This window comes from Homo sapiens, chromosome 3 (genome assembly GCF_000001405.40).
Source record: "Homo sapiens chromosome 3, GRCh38.p14 Primary Assembly".
Classification (NCBI taxonomy): domain Eukaryota; kingdom Metazoa; phylum Chordata; class Mammalia; order Primates; family Hominidae; genus Homo; species Homo sapiens.
The window spans coordinates 128,422,437-128,440,752 of record NC_000003.12 but is presented as its reverse complement, the minus strand read 5'-3'; the positions used below and the strand labels follow the sequence as shown (position 1 = coordinate 128,440,752).

The 18,316-nt window shown below is 55.7% G+C and overlaps 1 protein-coding gene and 1 long non-coding RNA gene across 2 annotated transcripts in view, besides 10 other annotated features; both read right to left on the bottom strand.

Annotated features, from left to right (window-relative positions):
* Nucleotides 4,474-5,161: an enhancer, noted in NCBI's record as "H3K4me1 hESC enhancer chr3:128154435-128155122 (GRCh37/hg19 assembly coordinates)". NCBI's record gives its function as "activates a minimal SCP1, AML or CMV promoter by ChIP-STARR-seq in primed H9 embryonic stem cells {active_cell/tissue: H9 hESC(primed)}" and the evidence as "EXISTENCE:reporter gene assay evidence [ECO:0000049][PMID:30033119]".
* LOC124909428 (uncharacterized) lies at nt 5,770-8,347 on the bottom strand. The gene is made up of 2 exons (XR_007096075.1): nt 7,960-8,347; nt 5,770-6,674 (listed from the first exon to the last, which is right to left on the bottom strand). It is a non-coding gene; the product is annotated as an uncharacterized LOC124909428 (long non-coding RNA).
* Nucleotides 7,146-7,726: an enhancer, noted in NCBI's record as "OCT4-H3K27ac-H3K4me1 hESC enhancer chr3:128151870-128152450 (GRCh37/hg19 assembly coordinates)". NCBI's record gives its function as "activates a minimal SCP1, AML or CMV promoter by ChIP-STARR-seq in naive H9 embryonic stem cells {active_cell/tissue: H9 hESC(naive)}" and the evidence as "EXISTENCE:reporter gene assay evidence [ECO:0000049][PMID:30033119]".
* Nucleotides 7,727-8,306: an enhancer, noted in NCBI's record as "OCT4-H3K27ac-H3K4me1 hESC enhancer chr3:128151290-128151869 (GRCh37/hg19 assembly coordinates)". NCBI's record gives its function as "activates a minimal SCP1, AML or CMV promoter by ChIP-STARR-seq in primed H9 embryonic stem cells {active_cell/tissue: H9 hESC(primed)}" and the evidence as "EXISTENCE:reporter gene assay evidence [ECO:0000049][PMID:30033119]".
* Nucleotides 8,307-8,887: an enhancer, noted in NCBI's record as "H3K27ac-H3K4me1 hESC enhancer chr3:128150709-128151289 (GRCh37/hg19 assembly coordinates)". NCBI's record gives its function as "activates a minimal SCP1, AML or CMV promoter by ChIP-STARR-seq in primed H9 embryonic stem cells {active_cell/tissue: H9 hESC(primed)}" and the evidence as "EXISTENCE:reporter gene assay evidence [ECO:0000049][PMID:30033119]".
* Nucleotides 12,707-13,265: an enhancer, noted in NCBI's record as "H3K4me1 hESC enhancer chr3:128146331-128146889 (GRCh37/hg19 assembly coordinates)". NCBI's record gives its function as "activates a minimal SCP1, AML or CMV promoter by ChIP-STARR-seq in naive H9 embryonic stem cells {active_cell/tissue: H9 hESC(naive)}" and the evidence as "EXISTENCE:reporter gene assay evidence [ECO:0000049][PMID:30033119]".
* Nucleotides 13,791-14,471: a transcriptional cis regulatory region, noted in NCBI's record as "intergenic|chr3:128145125-128145805 region (GRCh37/hg19 assembly coordinates) targeted for CRISPR interference". NCBI's record gives its function as "positively regulates RPN1 gene expression in K562 cells {active_cell/tissue: K562}" and the evidence as "EXISTENCE:mutant phenotype evidence [ECO:0000015][PMID:31784727]".
* Nucleotides 13,791-14,543: a biological region, named in NCBI's record as "CRISPRi-FlowFISH-validated RPN1 regulatory element 2". NCBI's record gives its function as "regulatory_interactions: RPN1".
* Nucleotides 13,954-14,003: a silencer, noted in NCBI's record as "silent region_14705". NCBI's record gives its function as "represses an Ori minimal core promoter by ATAC-STARR-seq in GM12878 lymphoblastoid cells {active_cell/tissue: GM12878}" and the evidence as "EXISTENCE:reporter gene assay evidence [ECO:0000049][PMID:35858748]".
* Nucleotides 14,034-14,343: a silencer, noted in NCBI's record as "silent region_14704". NCBI's record gives its function as "represses an Ori minimal core promoter by ATAC-STARR-seq in GM12878 lymphoblastoid cells {active_cell/tissue: GM12878}" and the evidence as "EXISTENCE:reporter gene assay evidence [ECO:0000049][PMID:35858748]".
* Nucleotides 14,344-14,543: an enhancer, noted in NCBI's record as "active region_20481". NCBI's record gives its function as "activates an Ori minimal core promoter by ATAC-STARR-seq in GM12878 lymphoblastoid cells {active_cell/tissue: GM12878}" and the evidence as "EXISTENCE:reporter gene assay evidence [ECO:0000049][PMID:35858748]".
* The window catches only part of EEFSEC (eukaryotic elongation factor, selenocysteine-tRNA specific), a 272,743-nt gene continuing 268,956 nt past the window's right edge, over nt 14,530-18,316 (bottom strand). The window contains exon 8 of the mRNA XM_024453695.2: nt 14,530-14,690. Coding sequence (XP_024309463.1) covers nt 14,575-14,690 — 116 coding nt within the window. The 3' untranslated portion in view covers nt 14,530-14,574. The remainder of the gene's footprint in view (nt 14,691-18,316) is intronic.

Sequence of the window (18,316 nt, the reverse complement as noted above, 5' to 3'; positions counted from 1 at the left end):
CCACAATGTTTCGCTCTGCCAAATTAGCAGTCCTGGCTTGATGGTGGGATGGGACACATGACAAATATGCCACTGAACCTGAAGCCACAACCACAGCCCAGCAGTGAGCCTGCTTGTGAGGGTGATCAACTTGGCCACTGTGAGAAGACTACTGCTGCTGCCCAGGGTGGAGACATCTAAAACTCAGGGAAGGCTCTGGGGCTTCCCCTGGTCCTTCCGTACCTGGGGATAATGACAAGTGGGCAGCTGCAGCAACCTCAGCTGGAAAAGGGCAAGCCAACTGAGGTCTCAGAACCCCCAAGGAAGACCAGGCTACCCCACCAGGCAAATGTCCCAGAGCAGCTGACACACGGACCGCAGGTGGCGGCTTCCAGAAGAGGTGGTGAGGTGGGGGTGCTGCTGAGCATCAGTTCCAGCACTGAGACCAGGTGCAGCAGGAGGGACTGTGACCCATCCAATACTTGCGTATTAACATTGAACAAAGATCCAGGCTGGCCGCTACCTTGATTTAAGCTCTGGACACACAGGACTCAGTGATACCACAAGCAGGGCCGAGCTGGTCAGGGGTGGCGGGTGACCTTCAGCAACTACCTCTTTCAGTGTCTGTGTTTCGATGCTTTGACACCTGGGGCCTTGCTGAGCCTGGAGGGACCACCTCTCTCATGGTCGGCCAATCTATGGTGATGACATGACTCGCTCTGAGCTCACCTTTCAAATGCAAAACCACCCAACCCAATGTCCACACCCCAGCTACCTTCTTTTTTGGAATCTCACACTCCAGACCACCATCCCTCTGCCCTATCCCCGCAAGGGCCAGGACCAGACAACCAGGGGCAGCCCTGCGCCCCAGAGCCCCGAAATTATTCAAACAAATCAGCCCTACACCTGCTTACCCACCTCACCGTTAATTCCATGATGGAGGCTCCTGCCTTCTGGTCCTCTCTCCCTCTGCCTCCTGACCCACCCAGTGCCTCCCGGGCAGCCCCCTCCTCTAAGGAACTGTGAGTAATAAACTATCTTTTCAGCGGCAGTCGTTGCATGGTCTGTTGGCCTTGCTATACTTCAGATTTTCTGTTTCACATCCATTATTTTTAACCGTGGACTGCATCAGACACCTCTGTGCCCACTTCACATCCTCTTGACCTCCTGCTTGTCCCAGCCACGGTGCTGTCATGGTCTCTTCCATGTGGTCTTTGCACAGCTTTGCAACTCACTTCTTGCCAGAGCTGGCATGCTGTGAGGACTGCCTGTGGGAACTGCTTGGCACTCACACAGTGCAATCCAGAAGCACGAGGTCACTGGGTGGCCCAGTGGATGGATGGGAGCCTATGGCTGTGTGCCCCTCTGCCATCCCTGGGCCAGACAGCATTCAGCACCTCCCACAGGTTTCCACAGATGGCCCCTTGGGGTGGAGCACAGAACCCCACAGAGGTGGCCGGGTTGGCAGTGCCTCCTGCTGCTTTTCCTCCTTCCCTGCCTGGCTCCCCTGTGGCTCACTCACTCCTATCCCCTGGCATTGCTTCCCACCAAAACTTCCTGCACACAGACTCCTTTCTTCCAGGCAGTCCTTTCAGGGGGAGCTCAGGCTAAGGTGAGCCTTGGGTTGCCTTTCCCAAGGTCTGTGCTGAGAATGAAGGGAGATGGTGACGAGGGGAGCTAAGAGCTCCTTCCACCGGCATCCCTAGCTGGGGGTAGAGGGGGGCTCCTCCCTTGGTGAAGGGGAGAGGCATCTATAGGAAAAGAACTGAAGGCTGGCCATTGCTGGCTGTCTTCTATCCCTGGCCCAAATATTGGAGCAGCCCTGGGGCAGGGGAGCGAGAGCCCCTATGTGGATTGGAGGCACCCACCTGCCGCTGCCCCTGCTGGAGGTGTGACCTGAGGCTGAAGTGAGGAGGCAGGGCCAAGGGCAAGCCTCCGGTCTCCTCCTGCCCCACAGAGGCCTCATGCCCATTCTGGAGGCCAGAGCCCAGATGTGGAGACACCTGCTCCCCAACCGCCTGCAGTGCTCCAGGCACACGGCTGCAATCCTCTTAGCCTCTAGGGGGCTCTAGACTCCCTACCACACCTTCCCCAATACTTCCATGGGTCCTGAGGCTGAGGGGCTTTCTTCAGGGTGGAACAGCAGATCCAGTTAGGAAGGGCCCAAGTTTCAGTCCAGAACCACTGCTCCCGAGCTCTGATCTGTGCCTCAGTTTCCCCACCTGAAGAATGGAAATGACAAGGAGCAGTTCACAGGATGGGAAGGATGGCAGCAGAGAGGATAAGCTGGCTCCTGGGATGGGGCCTGGAGCCTGTCCCCTGGCAGGGGGTGTCTCCCTGCAGATGACAGAGAATGGGCTGCCTTTCCTTGCATGGAAGTCAGCACTGGGGTCAGGCTGGGCTGCAGCTGGGGGAACCTGGATGCCCCTGGGCACTGAGGGGGCACCTGAACTCTGAGCTGGGCCCAGGGCTGGGCCAGAGGCCTGCAGCAGGCCCCATGGTGGCCCAAATGCCAGGCTTTTGGGGGAGGTCATTTGTGGTTCAGCTCTTGGGTCCCATAAAGGAAGGCCCCGTGGGGAAGCGAGTTCTCTGTGAGCTTCAGTTCCTTTCTTTTCTTTTCTTTTTCTTTTTTTGTTTTATTTTTAAATTTTTTTATTTCAATAAGTTTTTGGGGGAACAAGTGGTGCTTGTTTTATTTCAATAGGGTTTGGGGGAACAAGTGGTTACATTAACAAGTTCTTTAGCAGTGATTTCTGAGATTTTGGGATTTTGGTGCGCCTATCACCTGAGTGGTGTACACTGTACCCAAAGTGTAATCTTTTATCCCTCACCACCCACCCTTTCCCCTGAGTCACCAAAGTCCAATGAATGGATCATTCTTATGCCTTTGCGTCCTCATAGCTTAGCACCCACACATGAGTGAGAACATACGATGTTTGGTTTTCCATTGCTGAGTTGCTTCACTTAGAATAATGGTCTCCAATTCCACCCAGGTTGCTGCGAATGTCATTATTTTGTTACTTTTTATGGCTGAGTAGTAGTCCATGGTATATATACACCACATTTTCTTTATCCACTTGTTGATTGATGGGCATTTAGATTGGTTCCATATTTTTGCAATTACAAATTGTGCTGTTATAAACATGTGTGTGCACGTATATTTTTTGTATAATGACTTCTTTTCCTCTGTGTAGATACCTAGGAGTGGGATTGCTGGATCAAATGGTAGATTTACTTTTAGTTCCATTCATGTCCTTAGCCCAGTTTTTGATGGGATTGTTTGTTTTTTCTTGCTGATTTGTTTGAGTTCTTTGTAGATTATGGATGTTAGTCCTTTGTCAGAGATACAGATTGTAAAGATTTTCTCCTACTTTATAGTTGTCTTAACAGACTCTGCTGATTATTTCTTTTTTGTTTTTTTGAGACGGAGTCTCGCTCTGTCGCCCAGGCTGGAGTGCAGTGGCGCGATCTAGGCTCACTACAAGCTCTGCCTCCTGGGTTCATGCCATTCTCCTGCCCCAGCCTCCTGAGTAGCTGGGACTACAGGTGCACACCACCACGCCTGTCTAATTTTTGTTGTATTTTTCAGTAGAGACAGGGTTTCACCATGTTAGCCAGGATGGTCTCGATCGCCTGACCTCGTGATCCGCCCACCTCAGCCTCCCAAAATGTTGGGATTACAGGCGTGAGCCACTGCGCCCAGCCTGATTATTTCTTTTGCTGTGCAGAAGCTTTTCAGTTTAATTAGGTCCCATCTATTTATCTTTGTTTTTGTTGCATTTGCTTTTGGGTTCTTGGTCATGAAGGCTTTGCCTAAGCCAATGTCTAGAAGGGTTTTTCCGATGTTATCTTCTGGAATCTTTATGGTTTCAGGTCTTAGATTTAAGTATTTGAGCCATCTTGAGTTGATTTTTGTATAAGGTGAGAGATGAGGATCCAGTTTCATTCTACATGTGGCTTGCCAATTATCCCAGCACCATTTATTGAATAGGGTTTCCTTTCTCCACTTTATGTTTTTGTTTGTTTTGTCAAAGATCAGTTGGCTGTAAGTATTTGGCTTTATTTCTGGGTTCTCTATTCTGTTCCATTGGTCTATGTGACTATTTTTATACCAGTACCATGCTGCTTTGGTGACTATGACCTTATAGTATAGTTTGAAGTTGAGTAATGTGATGGCTCCGGATTTGTTGTTTTTGATTCTGAGTCAGTTTCTTCATCTGTAAATGGGATGGCTCCAGCTGCCCTGTAGGGCTGTGAGAGTCCTGAGGTTTACTGATCCGATCCTGGCAGGAGACGTAGTCTGCAAACTAGGGGAAAGGGCTTAATGAGCTGGCCACTTACAGATGCTGCTTAAGGGATGGTGACAGTACAGAGAGCAGGAAGCCACCATTCCTGCCTCTAGGGAGTGGGAGCAGGGCTGTTACTGGAGCTCTCCCAAGCTGCAGCCCAGGAGAGGGCCACCCTCCCACCACAGTGGGGACTGTGGCTCTTAGTCAGGACATGGCCAGCCTCAACCCAGGAGATGCTGGATGAGTAGTTCTGGCCACTCTCTCCTTCCACCCTTCCAGTCTTCAGCTGGTGTCCCCATTGGTGAACCAGACCAGAGGCAAGGGCAAGGGGACCGTGGCAGCAGAGCACACAGGGCATGGAGAGGGATGGCTGTGGTCGTGGAGGAGGAAACAGAATGTTCAGTATAGTAAGTGAATTGCTGGCAGCCTGGGAGGCTGAGTTGTGCTCTGCCCTGGGTCCCTGGGGCTATAGCACCTATGAGAGAGACTTGCTCTCTGAACCCCTGGCCTGAGGCTGGCAGGAACCACCAGGCAGAGGGCACCCCACTGATGAGGGACGGAGGTGGTATAGGCCTGAGGCTGTACTAAGTGCTGGCAGCATGGTTTTTGTGACTGGGTCTGTGAGAACCAAGCCCATGAGGGAAGCTGGCCCAGCCAGGCCCTGGGAGCGTCTGGAATGTCAGACAGAGACAGAGAAACCAAGACGGTGCCTACCTGCAACCCAGAATCCTCAACAACCTCACACCCAGGCAGCCCCAGGTCATGCTGTCTCTGGGCTTTAGAGCCTCATCAGGGGCTGGTAAAAACTCTTCCTTGCAGCACCCCCTCAAGTGCTGGGCCACCTTGGACCTGTAACACCTCTCCCCAGGATCACCTCTTTCTGTGCCACCTCACCGCAGGCAGTGACGGGAGGTTCCTAGAGGATACCTGGGTGCCTGGCCCCCAAAATCTGGTGACAGAGGCTGGGACAAGACAGGGGCAGCTCCTAACCCCACCTGTGAATCAGGCTGGGCCAGGGCTATCCTGTCTTTGTCCCGCTTGGGTCTCCTGCCCAGCCTGGCCAATCTGCACAGACCTTATCTCGGCCATCCATCCAGGCCACCTGGACTAACCAGTCCTGCCAGAAACTGGATCTGGCCACAAATGCCCCTCCCTGGGGGAGAGGGCAGTGAGACAAGCCCCCCACCTTCCACTGGCCTTTCCTGCTGGCTGAGCCAGAGGGGCAGGGCCCAGGGGTAGAGGAGTTGGGCCTCTGGGCTCTCCTCCCCTCCCCCGCCCTCTCCTGTGACAGGCAAGGCTGGGTCTAAGCTGAGAATGACGCATGGCCCAACAGACAGACTGAGCCATGTCCCTCTCCTACCCAGTTGCTCAGCTGCCAGGGAGTCACAGCCAGGGCCAGGAAGGGAGGGATCGCTGCAGAGAGTCGAGGAGCCACGCAGTGAGCTCCCAGGACCAATTTTTCTTTGTTCAAGAGGGAAACTGAGGCCCAGAGAGGCTCTTCTTTATTTGTAAAGCTGTTTAATAATCCATCATATGGGACCACCAACTTTTTCCTTTATATAAATTGTCTCTTGTGTGCCTAAAGGTAAGCATTCTACCCATGTAGTCTTATGTCTTCCTCAGACGGCCCTGGAGGGGTTGGGTATTGCCATTATTCCCACCTTACAGATGAGGAAACTGAAGTTCAGAGAGGTTAGGACAGTTGCCCAGAATCACACAGCTGGGCTGAGATTGGAACTCTCATCCACTTGCAAAGCTGTGCTCTTGGGGTGGCTTCCAGGTTTCCCCATGACATAACTGGGTCTTCTTTGTCCACTCATCTTATTCGTGCCCTTTAAAGATAAATTCAGCCTGGGCAACATAGTGAGACCCCATCTTTCCAAAAAAATTTAAAAAGTAGCTGGGTGTGTTGGTGCACACCTGTGGTTGCACTATTTGAGGGATGCTGAGGCAGGAGGATTGCTTGAGTCCGGAGGTCAAGGCTGCAGTGAGCTGCGATCGTGCTACTGCACTCCAGCCTGGGTGGCAGAGCGAGACCCTGTCTCAATAAATAAATAAATTTTAAAAAATGAAGATAAATTATTCGAGGTAAGTCACTGGATCAAAGCTTCCGCAGAATTTTGAGTGTCATATTGACAAACTGCACGCCAGAAGCAGGGTCCATGGGGGCTCCACCTGTCCCACAGCTGCCCGGCACTGCTTGTTGTCAGTATTCTTGCCTTTTACTCCAGAAATGAGGAATGATACCATGTGATTCCATGCGCATAACCTAGACTTGAGGCATCTCGTCTGTGTTGGCCATTTCTGTACCTTCTGGCGTGAATCCCAATCCTCTGTTCTTTGCAGGAGAAGACAAGGGTTGGGAGGCCACAGGTTCCTACTGCTCTCTGGCCTCAGGCTACTCACCTGCAAAATAAAGAGAGAGGGTGCTCCTGGGATGATACTAGCAGCTGACCCTGGCAGGGGACACCAGCTCCTCCGGCCTGATTCCAGCTGCAGGAATGTTTCTCCTCCCAGGTCTTGCCCCAGGCCTGACTCCTGACACTAGGCAGTAAATAACTTTCCATTTGGTCACCCCTGTTTTGGAGAATCTTTTGCTCTGGAGAAAGTGGGCGTGTGCCCCAGTCAAGCCCCACCCCAGTTACCTAGGAGGAGACAGGACCTTAGGGTTGGGTCAGGATGGGTGGGAGAGGGGTAGGTCTGGGAGGGTGGGGATCCTGGCATCCTAAGCATGAGTGTCATTGCCCACGAGGGCCCTGAGCTGCGGGCATCCACATCCCCAGGCCACATCGCTGCATGTGAGGCCAGACGTATCATCCCAAGGCCACCACACCAGGTGGCTGCAAGGCCGGTGGGACAAACCTGGCTCCTGCCTCCTCCTAAGCCCACCAGTCCTCTCTGCCCTGGAGCAGCGCTCATAGTACAGATGGGAAGACTGAGGCAGGAATGGGCAGCGATTGGGTCCCAGCCACCCACAGTGGGTACAGAGGTCTGGCTGGCCTAGGACCAGTTGGGAGGGATGGGGCTGCCCCCCACATGTGCCCCACACCCTTGGCAGCGGCAAATCCCAGCCCCTGCTCCAGGGCTCCAGGTGTGTGGACAGCAGGTTCCTTTGCAGGGAGTGCGAGCAAGAACACAGGCCAGGGACGCCCAGCGACTGGAGTGGGTCACCTGGCGCCGGGGGGAGGGAGGAGCGGGTCCCAGGGCAAGGACGACGCGGTCTTCACGGGAGCCTCGGCATGATGTGGGAGCGGAGTTGTCCCCCACCCCCCAGGTCAGCTGCCCGAGCGCCGCCGGGCGAGGCCGGCCGCCAGCGGGCCATCTGCATGACAAAGGCGCGCCCCGGCGGTGCGAGCGGGAGAGGGGCGCCCCGAGCTCCGCCCGCCCGCAGGCCCGCAGCTGCCCTGCTAAGCCTCCACCCCGCGGCCCGGAGATTTGGGGGGCGGGGGCGGCACGCGAGCCCGGGCGCTCAGCTGTGTTTGCTCGGGGGGGAGCCAGGCGGGGCGGCGGGGCTGGGGCGCGGGACAAAGGCCCGGATCTGACCGACCCCGCAGGTGGCGCGGGGGAGGGGGCGGACGCTCCGGGAGAGGGCGATGGGGGAGGGGCGGCCTCCCGGCTGCCCAACCCCAGCGCCCAGAAGCTGAGACCCCCTCGGGGGGCCGCAGTCCCCGAAACCTGGCCTGGGGATCACCTGGGTCCTCCTCCAGGCCCCCGGCCCTTTCCTGGAATTCCAAATGTTCAGCAAATGCGGCCACCGTCCGGGCGGGCTGCTTGATTTGTCCTCAGCTCCAACAACACTTTCTCCCTGGTGCCTCCTCCAGTGCCAGCAGGGGTGCCCAACGCCATGTCCCCGGACCACCCTCTCCTGGGAGCCTCTCTCTTCACTTTCCCGCATGTCCAGGGAGCCAGCTGGCCTTCCCAGCCCCACATTCACCGCAACCAGCCCCTTCGCCTTTCCCGCTCCAGGAAACAGTCCCTCCACACTCCCGCTGCCCAGGCCAAACCCGCAGGCACCGGCCTCCACGCCTCTCTCTCCGCTGGCTCCACCTTGGACGTCTCCCCAGAGGCGTCTCCCCCTCCCAGTTCCGGCCGCTGGTCCCGCCGCCATCGTGCTCACCTGGACCAGTGAGCACCCTCCCTCCTGTACGCGGCTCTATCCCGCTGCAGCCCATTCTCCTGCAGCAGCCGGAGGGTCTGTTAAAGCCAAGTCAGAGATCCTCCCTCCTCTGCTCCACACTCTCCCTTGGCTCCCACCTCACTCACAGGAAAAGCTCACCCCGCAGTGGGCTCCAGGACCACCTGATCTCACGACTGCCACCTCCCCCATCTCTGGCCTGTCTTTCCACTCAGCCTCCCCAGTCTCCTTGGTTTCTCCTTGGGCGGCCAGGCCTCCGGCCTCTGCATGGCCGCTACCTCTGCTTGGAACACACTTCACGGGACATCTGTGTGCCTCACTCCCGCGCTTCCTTCAGGCCTTTACTGAAATGCCGCCTCCTCAGTGAGGCCCTCCTTGGTTTAAAATGTCAGCATGCCTTCTTCAACTCCTTTTGCCTTGCTGTCTGCCCTAGTTTTTCTCCTCGGCACTTCTTCCTATTGGCATTTCTGCACGTGGTACTCATTCCCGTTGCTCATTTTGTTTTTTGTCTTTCCCATTGACTGTAAGATGCACCAGGGCAGAGACTGTCTCCTGTTGGCTGTTGTGACCCCCAAACCTAGCATGGTCCCTGGAACACAGTAGATGCTCAGTAAATATGTGCTGGATAAATGAGTAAATTAAATCCTTTACGCCTCCACAGCACCCTGTAAGGTAGGCCCTCTGTAAGGTAGACACCCTCCTCCCCATTCTACAGATGACAGTGCTGAGGCACAGAGAGTAAGTCACTTGCCTGGGTCTCATGGCTAGAAAGTGTGGGAGGCCGGATTTGAATCCAGGACCTCACTTCCCAGTAAGGTCTCAAACTAGTGGCCCACACACTGTTTTTGGCTCTCAGAAAGGTTTTGTGTGGCTCGAACAGTTTCAGAAAAAATTGAATAAACTGTGGCCATTTAAAAATCAGGAGGCCAGGCATGGTGGCTTACGCCTGCAATCCCAGCACTTTGAGAGGCTGAGGCAGGAGGATTGCTTGAAGCCAGGAGTTTGAAACCTGGGCAACATAATGAGACGTCCCCCACCCCCACCTCTACAAGAAATAAATATAAGACTGGCATGATGGTACATGTCTGTAATCTCAGCTATTTGGGAGGCTGAGGCAGGAGGATCACTTGGGCCCAGGAGTTTGAGGCTGCACTGAGCTAAGATTGCACCACTGTACTCCAGCCTGGGCAACAGATTGAGACTTCATTTCTAAAACACAACAAAACAAAAAAATCAGGATGCTTTATGCAAAATTCCAGACCTCCAGCTTTCCTTGCAAAATCGGAACCTCTGGCCACACCGTGTCCCCAATCCCACAAGGCAGCCACTGGCAGGGGCTGAGTGGCACTGCTCCTCAGGACTGGCATGGACTGCCTTCATGCCCAGTCTCCACCCCACTGCTCCTGCCCCTGCCCCAGGCCTCCCTCCCGTGAGCGTGAGCATTCTGTGCCTCTGCTCTTGCTGTTCCCTCCGCCTGGAATCCTCTTTCCACAGTTCTTGGCCTGGCTGTCCCCTTCTTGTCACTCAAGGCTTAGCCCCTCCGGAAGCCCTCCGTGCCCACTTTGGCTAAGGATCATGATCTGAAGTCACTTTACGAGTGTATTTGGTGCCTGCACACTGTCTGTCTCCCTAAGGAGGATGGCAGCTCCAGTCGGCAGGAGCCAGTTCAGCCCATTGCTCCCGTCCAGGGCAGCACCTGTGCCCACACCAGGCTGCAGGCTTGTTGATTGACGGAATGAATGAGCCGATGAATGAATGAAGAACTTGCGGGTGGCAGCCGCTGTTGTGAGCACTTCCCATGCCTGGAGCACTGTCCTCTGTGCACAGCAGGCTTCTGTGCGAGCTGGGGCTGGGTCACACACAGATCTCTTGCCGGGGATTCAAGCTGTGGTGGCTTCTGTGTTCCCAGCCAGGGCCTCAGGCTCTGTGACAACCTTGAGAGGCATGGGCAACCCTATCCCCCACTCCAGTGCCCAGCTCTCGCTGCAGATCTGGGGCTCTGAGTCTTCCGGGTCAGCTGAGCTGGGCCACATGAGGGTCACCTTCCTGGTGTTGCAGGGGCAGCCCTGCCCCCTACTTGCCCAGAACGTCCCCCAGGTTTCAGAAGGAGATAGCTGTGTGAACTGGCAGTGTGCAGGCTGATTCCAGGCCCAGCTCCTTCTGTTTCTTGCTGTGTGACTTGATCAATTTATCTCACCTCTCTGAGCCAGTTTCCCCTTCTATACAGCGGGAACACTGCCCCTGCTTGAGACTTACTGTGAGAGCTCCTGTGCACACCCCCAGCGCCAGTGCCCAGCGGGCACTCAGCACACAGGACACGGTCTGGCCTCCCCTCTGGCTGCCCAGGTGGAAGGCCTCCCCATGACATCACTCCTGCACAGGGGCACCAGCAGCCAAGGGCCTGGGGTCTGTACCAGCCGGCTGGTGGCGGCCCTGTGTGCACACTCATGTGTATGGTCTTGGGTGAGGGTGTGACCATGTGGATTGTGTGTGTGCATGTGGCTACTTGTGACTGTGTGTGAGTGCCCACACATAGGATCACGTGTGTTGTGTGAGCCTGTGGTTGGGGATGGCTGCTGCCCGGGCATTGGCTCTGTGTCACGGCTTGTCCGTAACTCTGTGTCCCGGTGTGTGATGGTGATGGTGTGGTTGTGGGTGAGACACTGGACGAGGTCAGGGCCAGGTACCCGAGTGGTCCAGCCAGTCCTCGGCAGCTGGGTGGGCTGGGTGGGAACACGCTCGCCTGGCTCTTCAGGCAGCCCTCAGGTGGGGAGTGCACTGGGCCCCAGCTGACCCGGGCTGGCTGGGCAGTCTGAGCCAGAAGGGGCCGGTTGACAGGGTTTCGGGAGGCCACTGCACCCCGGGCCATCTGTTCTCAGGACCTGCTCTGCTGGTCATGCTCTGGGTCCCAGGGCCCGGGATGGGGGCAGGAGGCTGCCTTGCTTATTGCAGCCCTGGGAGCCCCTCTTCTGACGATGTGTCAGATACAGCGTCCTGCGTGTGGCCTCCCCGCTCACCCTGCCTCCACCGCGTGCCCTCACTGTCTGCCCAGCCTCCTCCCAGTAGCACTATGTTCTGCACCCATCTGGCTGTGAGATGAGGGCAGGGACCCCTTCACCACCCATATCACGAGGACACAGGGCCCAATATGTTCATCCAGCACAGACCCAGTTCCCTGGGGTTTGTCGATGGAACGAGTCAGCTGGAGGTGGTGGCTGCTTCCACCCCTGGCCAGGTCGGCCTCACTGCTGGCCCCTGTCGCTGGGGGAATCGACAGCTCCCTCCCCCAGCTTTCCAAGGACCTCAGCGGGAAGCACAGACCCTCCCAGGGACCTCCACTTTTCCCTGCCAAGACTCCAGGCTCTGTGGTGGGTCTGGCTTGTACCCCCTCCCACACAGTTCCCCAAGGCCTCAGGCCCCCCAAGTGGAGAGACACCTGGCAACCTGGACCTGTTGGAGAAAACTAAGCCTCCGTAGGGACTCAGTTTCCCTGCTGGACTGGCTGGGGCTGCTTGCCTGGGGAAGCTTCCCTTGGTCTATCTCGGGTTCAGAAGAGGGCTTGGCTTGCCAGGGCAGGGGCAAGGCAGAAGCCCCCAGGACCCCTGCCTGCTCCTCAGGTCCAGGAGGAAACCTGCGAGTGAAAGCAGACTTAGTGGGGAAACACACCCAGCCCCAGGAGGCTGCCCACCTGGCGGGCCTCGGGGTCCTGAGCCTGCGACAGAGGTGCAGAGACAGAACCAACAGGTTAGGACAGGGAGAGAGAGAAGCAACAGACACACACATCACACACTCTGGGGCAGGGGTCATGCACCGGGGCCAGGCAGCTCCCCAGGTTTCTTGGATCTGGACTTAGAATGCCAATTGTTAATGCCAAGCCCAGAATGGCTCTGGTTGTCAATTCCCAAATGGTGTATATGTGACTGTGACTTTGTGTGTGTGCACATGCATGCGTGAAGGTACGTGAGGCTCATGGGTCTGGTGGGCATGTTTGCAGAGCCTGGCCGGTGTGTGTTATGGACGAGGGACGGAGATTGCCACCTGCCTCTAGCGTGTGTCTGTATGCATGGGAGGCAGCCTGCTGGCCTCTGTGACCGTGCCCCAGTGTCCCTGGGCAAAAGTGTGTGTGATGTGTGGCCTCCCTCAGTGGCACTGCCAGAGCCAGGCTGGGAGCTTCAGTGGAGGACCTGCCCTCAGGGCCCCTAAGTACCCCTGACCCTGGCCCTGGCCTCAGACCTGGACCCCGAGCAGGAGCCCTGGCTGGCCCACATGGGGGCTTTTGTCCATTTCTGAAGTGACAAGAGACACACAAAAGGGCTTTTAATTAAATCAAAGAAGGGGGAAACGGGCCAGCCGGGCCGCTATTATGTTACCAAACGCGAAAATGAAAACTTATTTTTAAAGCTCTGGTATTAATTTGAGATTATTCAGATAGTTAATTAAAAGTGCAGCATGTGTTAAATATTATTTCAACAAAGATTATCATCAGGCCTCCATGTAATGTGATCCTTGGGCTTGGGAGCTTTATGCAAATGGCTGCAGCCAGGAGGAAGGGCCCTCAACAGAAGGGTGGCAGGCAGGCGCAGGGAGGGCAGGAGCTCCGCGTAGGCCCACTCACTCCCCTCGGGTCTGGCTCCCCCAGACACAGATGGAGTCTCAGCCAGGGCCCCCTTTCCAAGCCCTAGGTGAGTAGGGGCCTGACTGTCTGGCGGGTCTCGAGCCCACCAGCCAGTCAGCAGCAGGGCCCCATACAGTCTTCTGGATGGCACTGTGGGCCATGAGGGAGGCTGGCCACACTGCCTGCCTCGAAGACCAGCACACCTGTAGGTGTGTGTGCATGGGCGTGAGCAGGGGGTCTGGGAACAGCAGTGTGGATGTGTGTGCTCCTGACGCTGTCACAAGACTGGGTGTGCACAGGTGACGCTTGTGTATGAGCTGGGAGGCTGGCAGCGTGTTTGTGTTCAGGGTCTCTCCATCTTACCCGTGGACTCTGGCACTGACAGTCTGGGCCCCTGCATGTGTTATGAATATTTGTGTGTGGTACACATGGGCATGGGGTGGGCACTGCTGGGTGTGTGCCCATAACCCACCCTGAGCAAGTCACATCACTGCTCAGCGCCTCAGCTTCCCCGTTTGTAGAATGGGATAGGTAATAACAGTAAACGCCTCACTGGGAGAGTTGGACGGGATTACATGGGATAACACAGACATCCAACTTAGGCCTGTCCTGTAGAGACAGAACACAAGCGGCAGGTGAGAGCCATCTACCTAATTTTATATCTTAGCCACAATTTTAAAAAGAAAAAATGAAATTAATTTTCATATTTTATTTAACCCAGTAGATCCAAAATATTACTATTTCAGCTCAATACAAAAGGTGATAAGTGTGATTGTTTAGTCTCTCTTTGTCACAGAAGGCCTTTGGAAGCTGGGGTGTACTGGGCCCTGGGTATATCTCATCTTGGACGGCCACATCACCGGTGCTCAGAGCCACGTGGGGACGTGGCGGCCTTTGAGCCTAAGGCCCTGCCCCCCAGGCCGGCTCTTCGCAGACCCGGGGCCAGCGCTCTCCCGGAGAGACTCCCGGGGCACCTCGCTGGATGGCGGGGACTGGCGGGGTAGGGGTGGGGTAGCCCGGAGACGGGTGGGCCCAGGATCCCTCGCTAACCTCCTCCCCCACACCGTGCACTGGGTCCGTGTCCCTAGGTCGTGCGTCCCAGACAGTCCGACAGGTGTTTGCCGCAGTCCTGAGACCACATTCGGGCTCCCGCCCGCGCTGCGCCTCGCCGGGGCCGCCCCTGCCAGCCCTGCCGTGCGCTCTCGGCCGCTGGGCGCGGGCCGCTCCTGCCCTCTGTCGGCGCCTGGCGGCAGCGCAGTCCCGCGGCGGGCCGAGGAGGGGGCCTGGCTGGCTACGGCCCTTCGGGGCGGAATGGGTGCGTGCCCACCCCACCGTGCAAGGGCCCCACCGTTCCAGGACATTTTCACACCTCATCCCACAGGATGCTTACGGCGGGCTGCGAGGCCAGCAGCGCCAGCCCGGTTTTACAGACGGGAAAGCGGAAGCTCAGAGAGGACCTGTGACCTGCCCAGGGCCACACAGCAGGACTGCAGGCAGGGATTCGAGCTGAGGTGGGAATCCAGGTGTTCAGCGCACTTCCATGAGTCCCGCCGGGTTCAAGTGCTGGCTCTGCCCCGCGTGGCCTGTGCAGCGAGACAGGTGACAACCTCTCTGAACCTGAGTGGCTCTGCTGTAAGCTGGGGGCGACAGTAGCCCCTCCTGCGTAGGACTGCTGTGAGGATTGAACAGGGGATGACTGTAAGGTTTCTAGCAGGTCCCTGGAACTCAGCATTCATCCAAAAAGTCGCTGAGTCACAGCATAATAACACGATTCACCTACCTCGGGGCCTTGGCACCTGCTGGGCCCCCGCCTGGAAACCCTTCCCCCGGATCTTGGATGGGATGGCCCCTCTGCCTTAATCTCGGTTCAAACTCACCTCAGCAAGGCCCGCCCCAGTCACCCTGTTAGCATTGCCCTAATTCATGCCCTTGGAGCCCTTGCCAACAGCCAGATGGTCCCGCGTGTCCCCAGGCTGCCTGGTTTCTTGCCTGCTGCCCACAGGACAGGAGGGCCCAGGAGGGCCCAGGAGGGCAGAGCTCGTTCATCCTGGCCATTTCCGTCACTGGGAGCACCGCGCCTGGCCTGGGTGGGTGCCCGATGGGAATGTGTTGAGTGAAAGGTAAAATGCCCAGTCAGGCGGGAATGCAGACAGCAGCTGGGGTGGGAAACCGCGTGGCAGTAAAACACACGCCACACAACACAGACCTTCCACGGTGAGGTGTTTACTTATGGGAGAGAAGCACCGATGCTCACACAAAACCCCACAAGAGTGTTCGGAGCAGCTTTAGTCACAGTCACCCCAAACTGGAAGCAGCCCGAGTGTCCTTCCGCAGGTGAATCCATCCGCTCGTCCACAGCCACACCTCGGGGCCCTGCTCAGTGACCCAAGGAGCTGCTGGGACGTGCAGCCACAAGCATGAATCCCAAGGCCAGGAAGCCTTGCTGGAAAGTCCACACACAGTGTGATCCCACTCATGTGACATTCTAGAAAGTGTAAAACAACAGTGATGGAAAAGAGATGAGTGAATGCTGGGGCCGGGTGTGCGAGGGGTGCTTTCACAGGGGCATGAAGCATGGGGGTGCACCTGTTCTCTCTTTTGACTCAGGTAGGGGTTACACAACTGAATGTGTTTTTCAAAACGCACAGAGCTACATGTTTAAAGGGGTGATTTTTACTGTATGTGACAAACAACAATTTTAAAAACCAGTCACAGAGTCGCAGACTCTCAGAATCATGGAGTTGACCAGTCCTACCTGCTTGGTGAGAGGCCCTGACCACCCCGCCACTGCCTCCCTGAGAAAGACCACTTCCGCCGCAGTCTCCACCTTAGACTGAACGAGCTTTAGAACTGGCCCACAGAAGATGAGAGGAGTGGGGGAGGAGATTGGGGTGGGGCGGGAGACACGGTCCCGGAGGTTGTTACTTCCATTCACTTTGTTGCGTGCGTCAGTAGTTTGTTGTGGTGGGTATGGACACATGGGGTTCACTGTATTATACTCCGCGCACTTTTCGTATGTTTGAACTATTTCCTTAATAAAAATGATAAATGGCTGGGTGCCGTGACTCATTCCTGTAATCCCAGCACTTTGAGAGGCCAAGGCAGGAAGATCACTTGAGGACAGGAGTTCACAAGCAGCCTGGGGAACATAGTGAGACCATGTCTCTACCAATAAAGAAAAAAAAATAGGCAGTATGATGGTGCATGCCTGTGTAGTCTTAGCTACTCAGGAGGCTGAGGCAGGAGGATCATGAGAGCCTAGGAGTTCGAGGCTGCAGTGAGCCATGATCACACCACTGCACTCCAACCTAGGTGACAGAGTGAGACTGCCTAAAACAAAGCAAAACAAAACAAAACAAAAACCCAAAACACCCCCAAACCAGATAAGTAATACAATAATTAAAAACAACAATAAAGTGAATTCCACCATAGAACCCCACTGGCCTCTTCTGCAGCCCTGGGAAGCAGGTTACTTTCTGCCCATTGAGGAGAAGAGCAGACTGAGGCTTGGGGAGGCACCCAGCCTGCTGGTGTAGGGAGCAGCCAGCAGCAGAAGCCAGGAGGCTGGTGGGTGCTTCCTGCAGCCTGCCAGAGGTGACTCTTGGGGCCAGGTGTCTTTGGGAATGGCTGCATTTCATCCCCCAGGAAGTGTGCGTGTGTGCACGTGCATGCATAGTGTGTGTGTGCGGGTGTGTGGTGTTTCTGGGTGTCGTTTCTGTGTCTCCCGCAGCTCCAGGTCACATTCTCCCCATCACCCCCCCAGGCAAAGGGCCTCTGTTCCCTACCCACCAAGGCTCTGGTGCTGAACCACCCGCTGCAAGGGTTGCCCCCAGGCATTGGCTGCAGGGCAGAGAGAATGGCCATGGAGCATTGACCAATTTTAAAAAACAATTTTATTGAGCTATAACTTACATGCTATAAAGTTCCCCCACTTAAAGTGTACAATTCCAAACTTCTGTATGTTTACAGAGTTGTACAACCATCACTACAATCTAAGTTTAGAACACCCTGTCCCCTGAAAAGAAACTGTCTCCACTGGCAGTCACTCCCCACTTCCTGCTCCCCCAGGCCTTGGCAAATCTACTTTCTGCATCTATAGGTTTGCCTCTTCTGGACATTTCACATAAATGGAATCACACATTATGTGGCCTTTCACGATTGGTTTCTTTCACTTAGTACAATGCCTTCATGGTCCATCCATGCTGCAGTGCATAGCAGTACTTCATTCCTCTTATTTATTTATTTATTTATTTATTGAGACAGGGTCTTGCTCTGTCACCCAGGCTGGAGTGCAGTGGTGCAATCATAGCTCACTGGGGCCTCTGGCTCCTGGCCTCAGGCGATCCTTTCACCTCAGCCTCCCATAGTGCTAGGATTTCAGACATGAGCCACTGCACCTGGCCTTCATTCCTTTTTAATTTTTATTAGATTATTGCCAAATAGTATTCCATTGCATGGGTAGATAGATATTTTGTGTATCCATTCATCAGTTGATAAACAGGGTTGCTTCCATTTTTTGGCAGTAACTTTATGTTAAACTTTTAAAGAAACACCCAAGCTGTTTTCCCAAGTGACTGCCATGAAGCATTTAATGAGCACCTGCTGTGTGCCCGTTTCCCTCTGACTGCTACCCAGAGAAGGTGGTCCTAATATTAATTTCATTTCGCTGAGGCACAGACAGGGTGAGACCCTTCCTGCAGGTCTCACTGGATCCCAGATCTGTTTGTGCTGCTAAAAGCAAAGCTGCCATGGTTGGTGTGGGCCTGGGAAAGGTCCTCTTGGTCACATGACCTCTGGGAGGGCTAGTAGCCTGCAGGTGGGGGCAGCATGACCTCTTCATTACCCAGTGCTCCCAGCAGGTCAGGTGGGCACACAAGGGGGACCTGAAGGAAGGCTCTGGTGACTGTCTGGGACCAGCCTGGGCTGGCTGTCCCTGGGGTAGGCAGGGACATCTGGGCTTCTGGTCTGAGTGGCAACTCTCCCACCCTCCCGGGCACCTCCTTGTCAGGGGACGGGATGTTTCAAGCTCCCTCTGGTCCCTGGCCTGGATCTGGCCCAAGCAAGGGTTGAGGAAACTTTGGTCCAATGATTGGTCAAGGGGATCAATAAACTAATGGGCCAGGGCCAGCCACGGAGAGCAGCCGGGGGGCCTCAAGGCCCGAGGAGTGAGAACGAGTTTCTCAGGGTCTGGCCCCTGTGTTGAGGCGTGGCCCTGCACACTTCCCTGCCTTCCTCTCGGGACCTCAACCCCCAGTACAAGGGCCCATGTGGGAAACCATACCCCAGAAGGCCAGGACC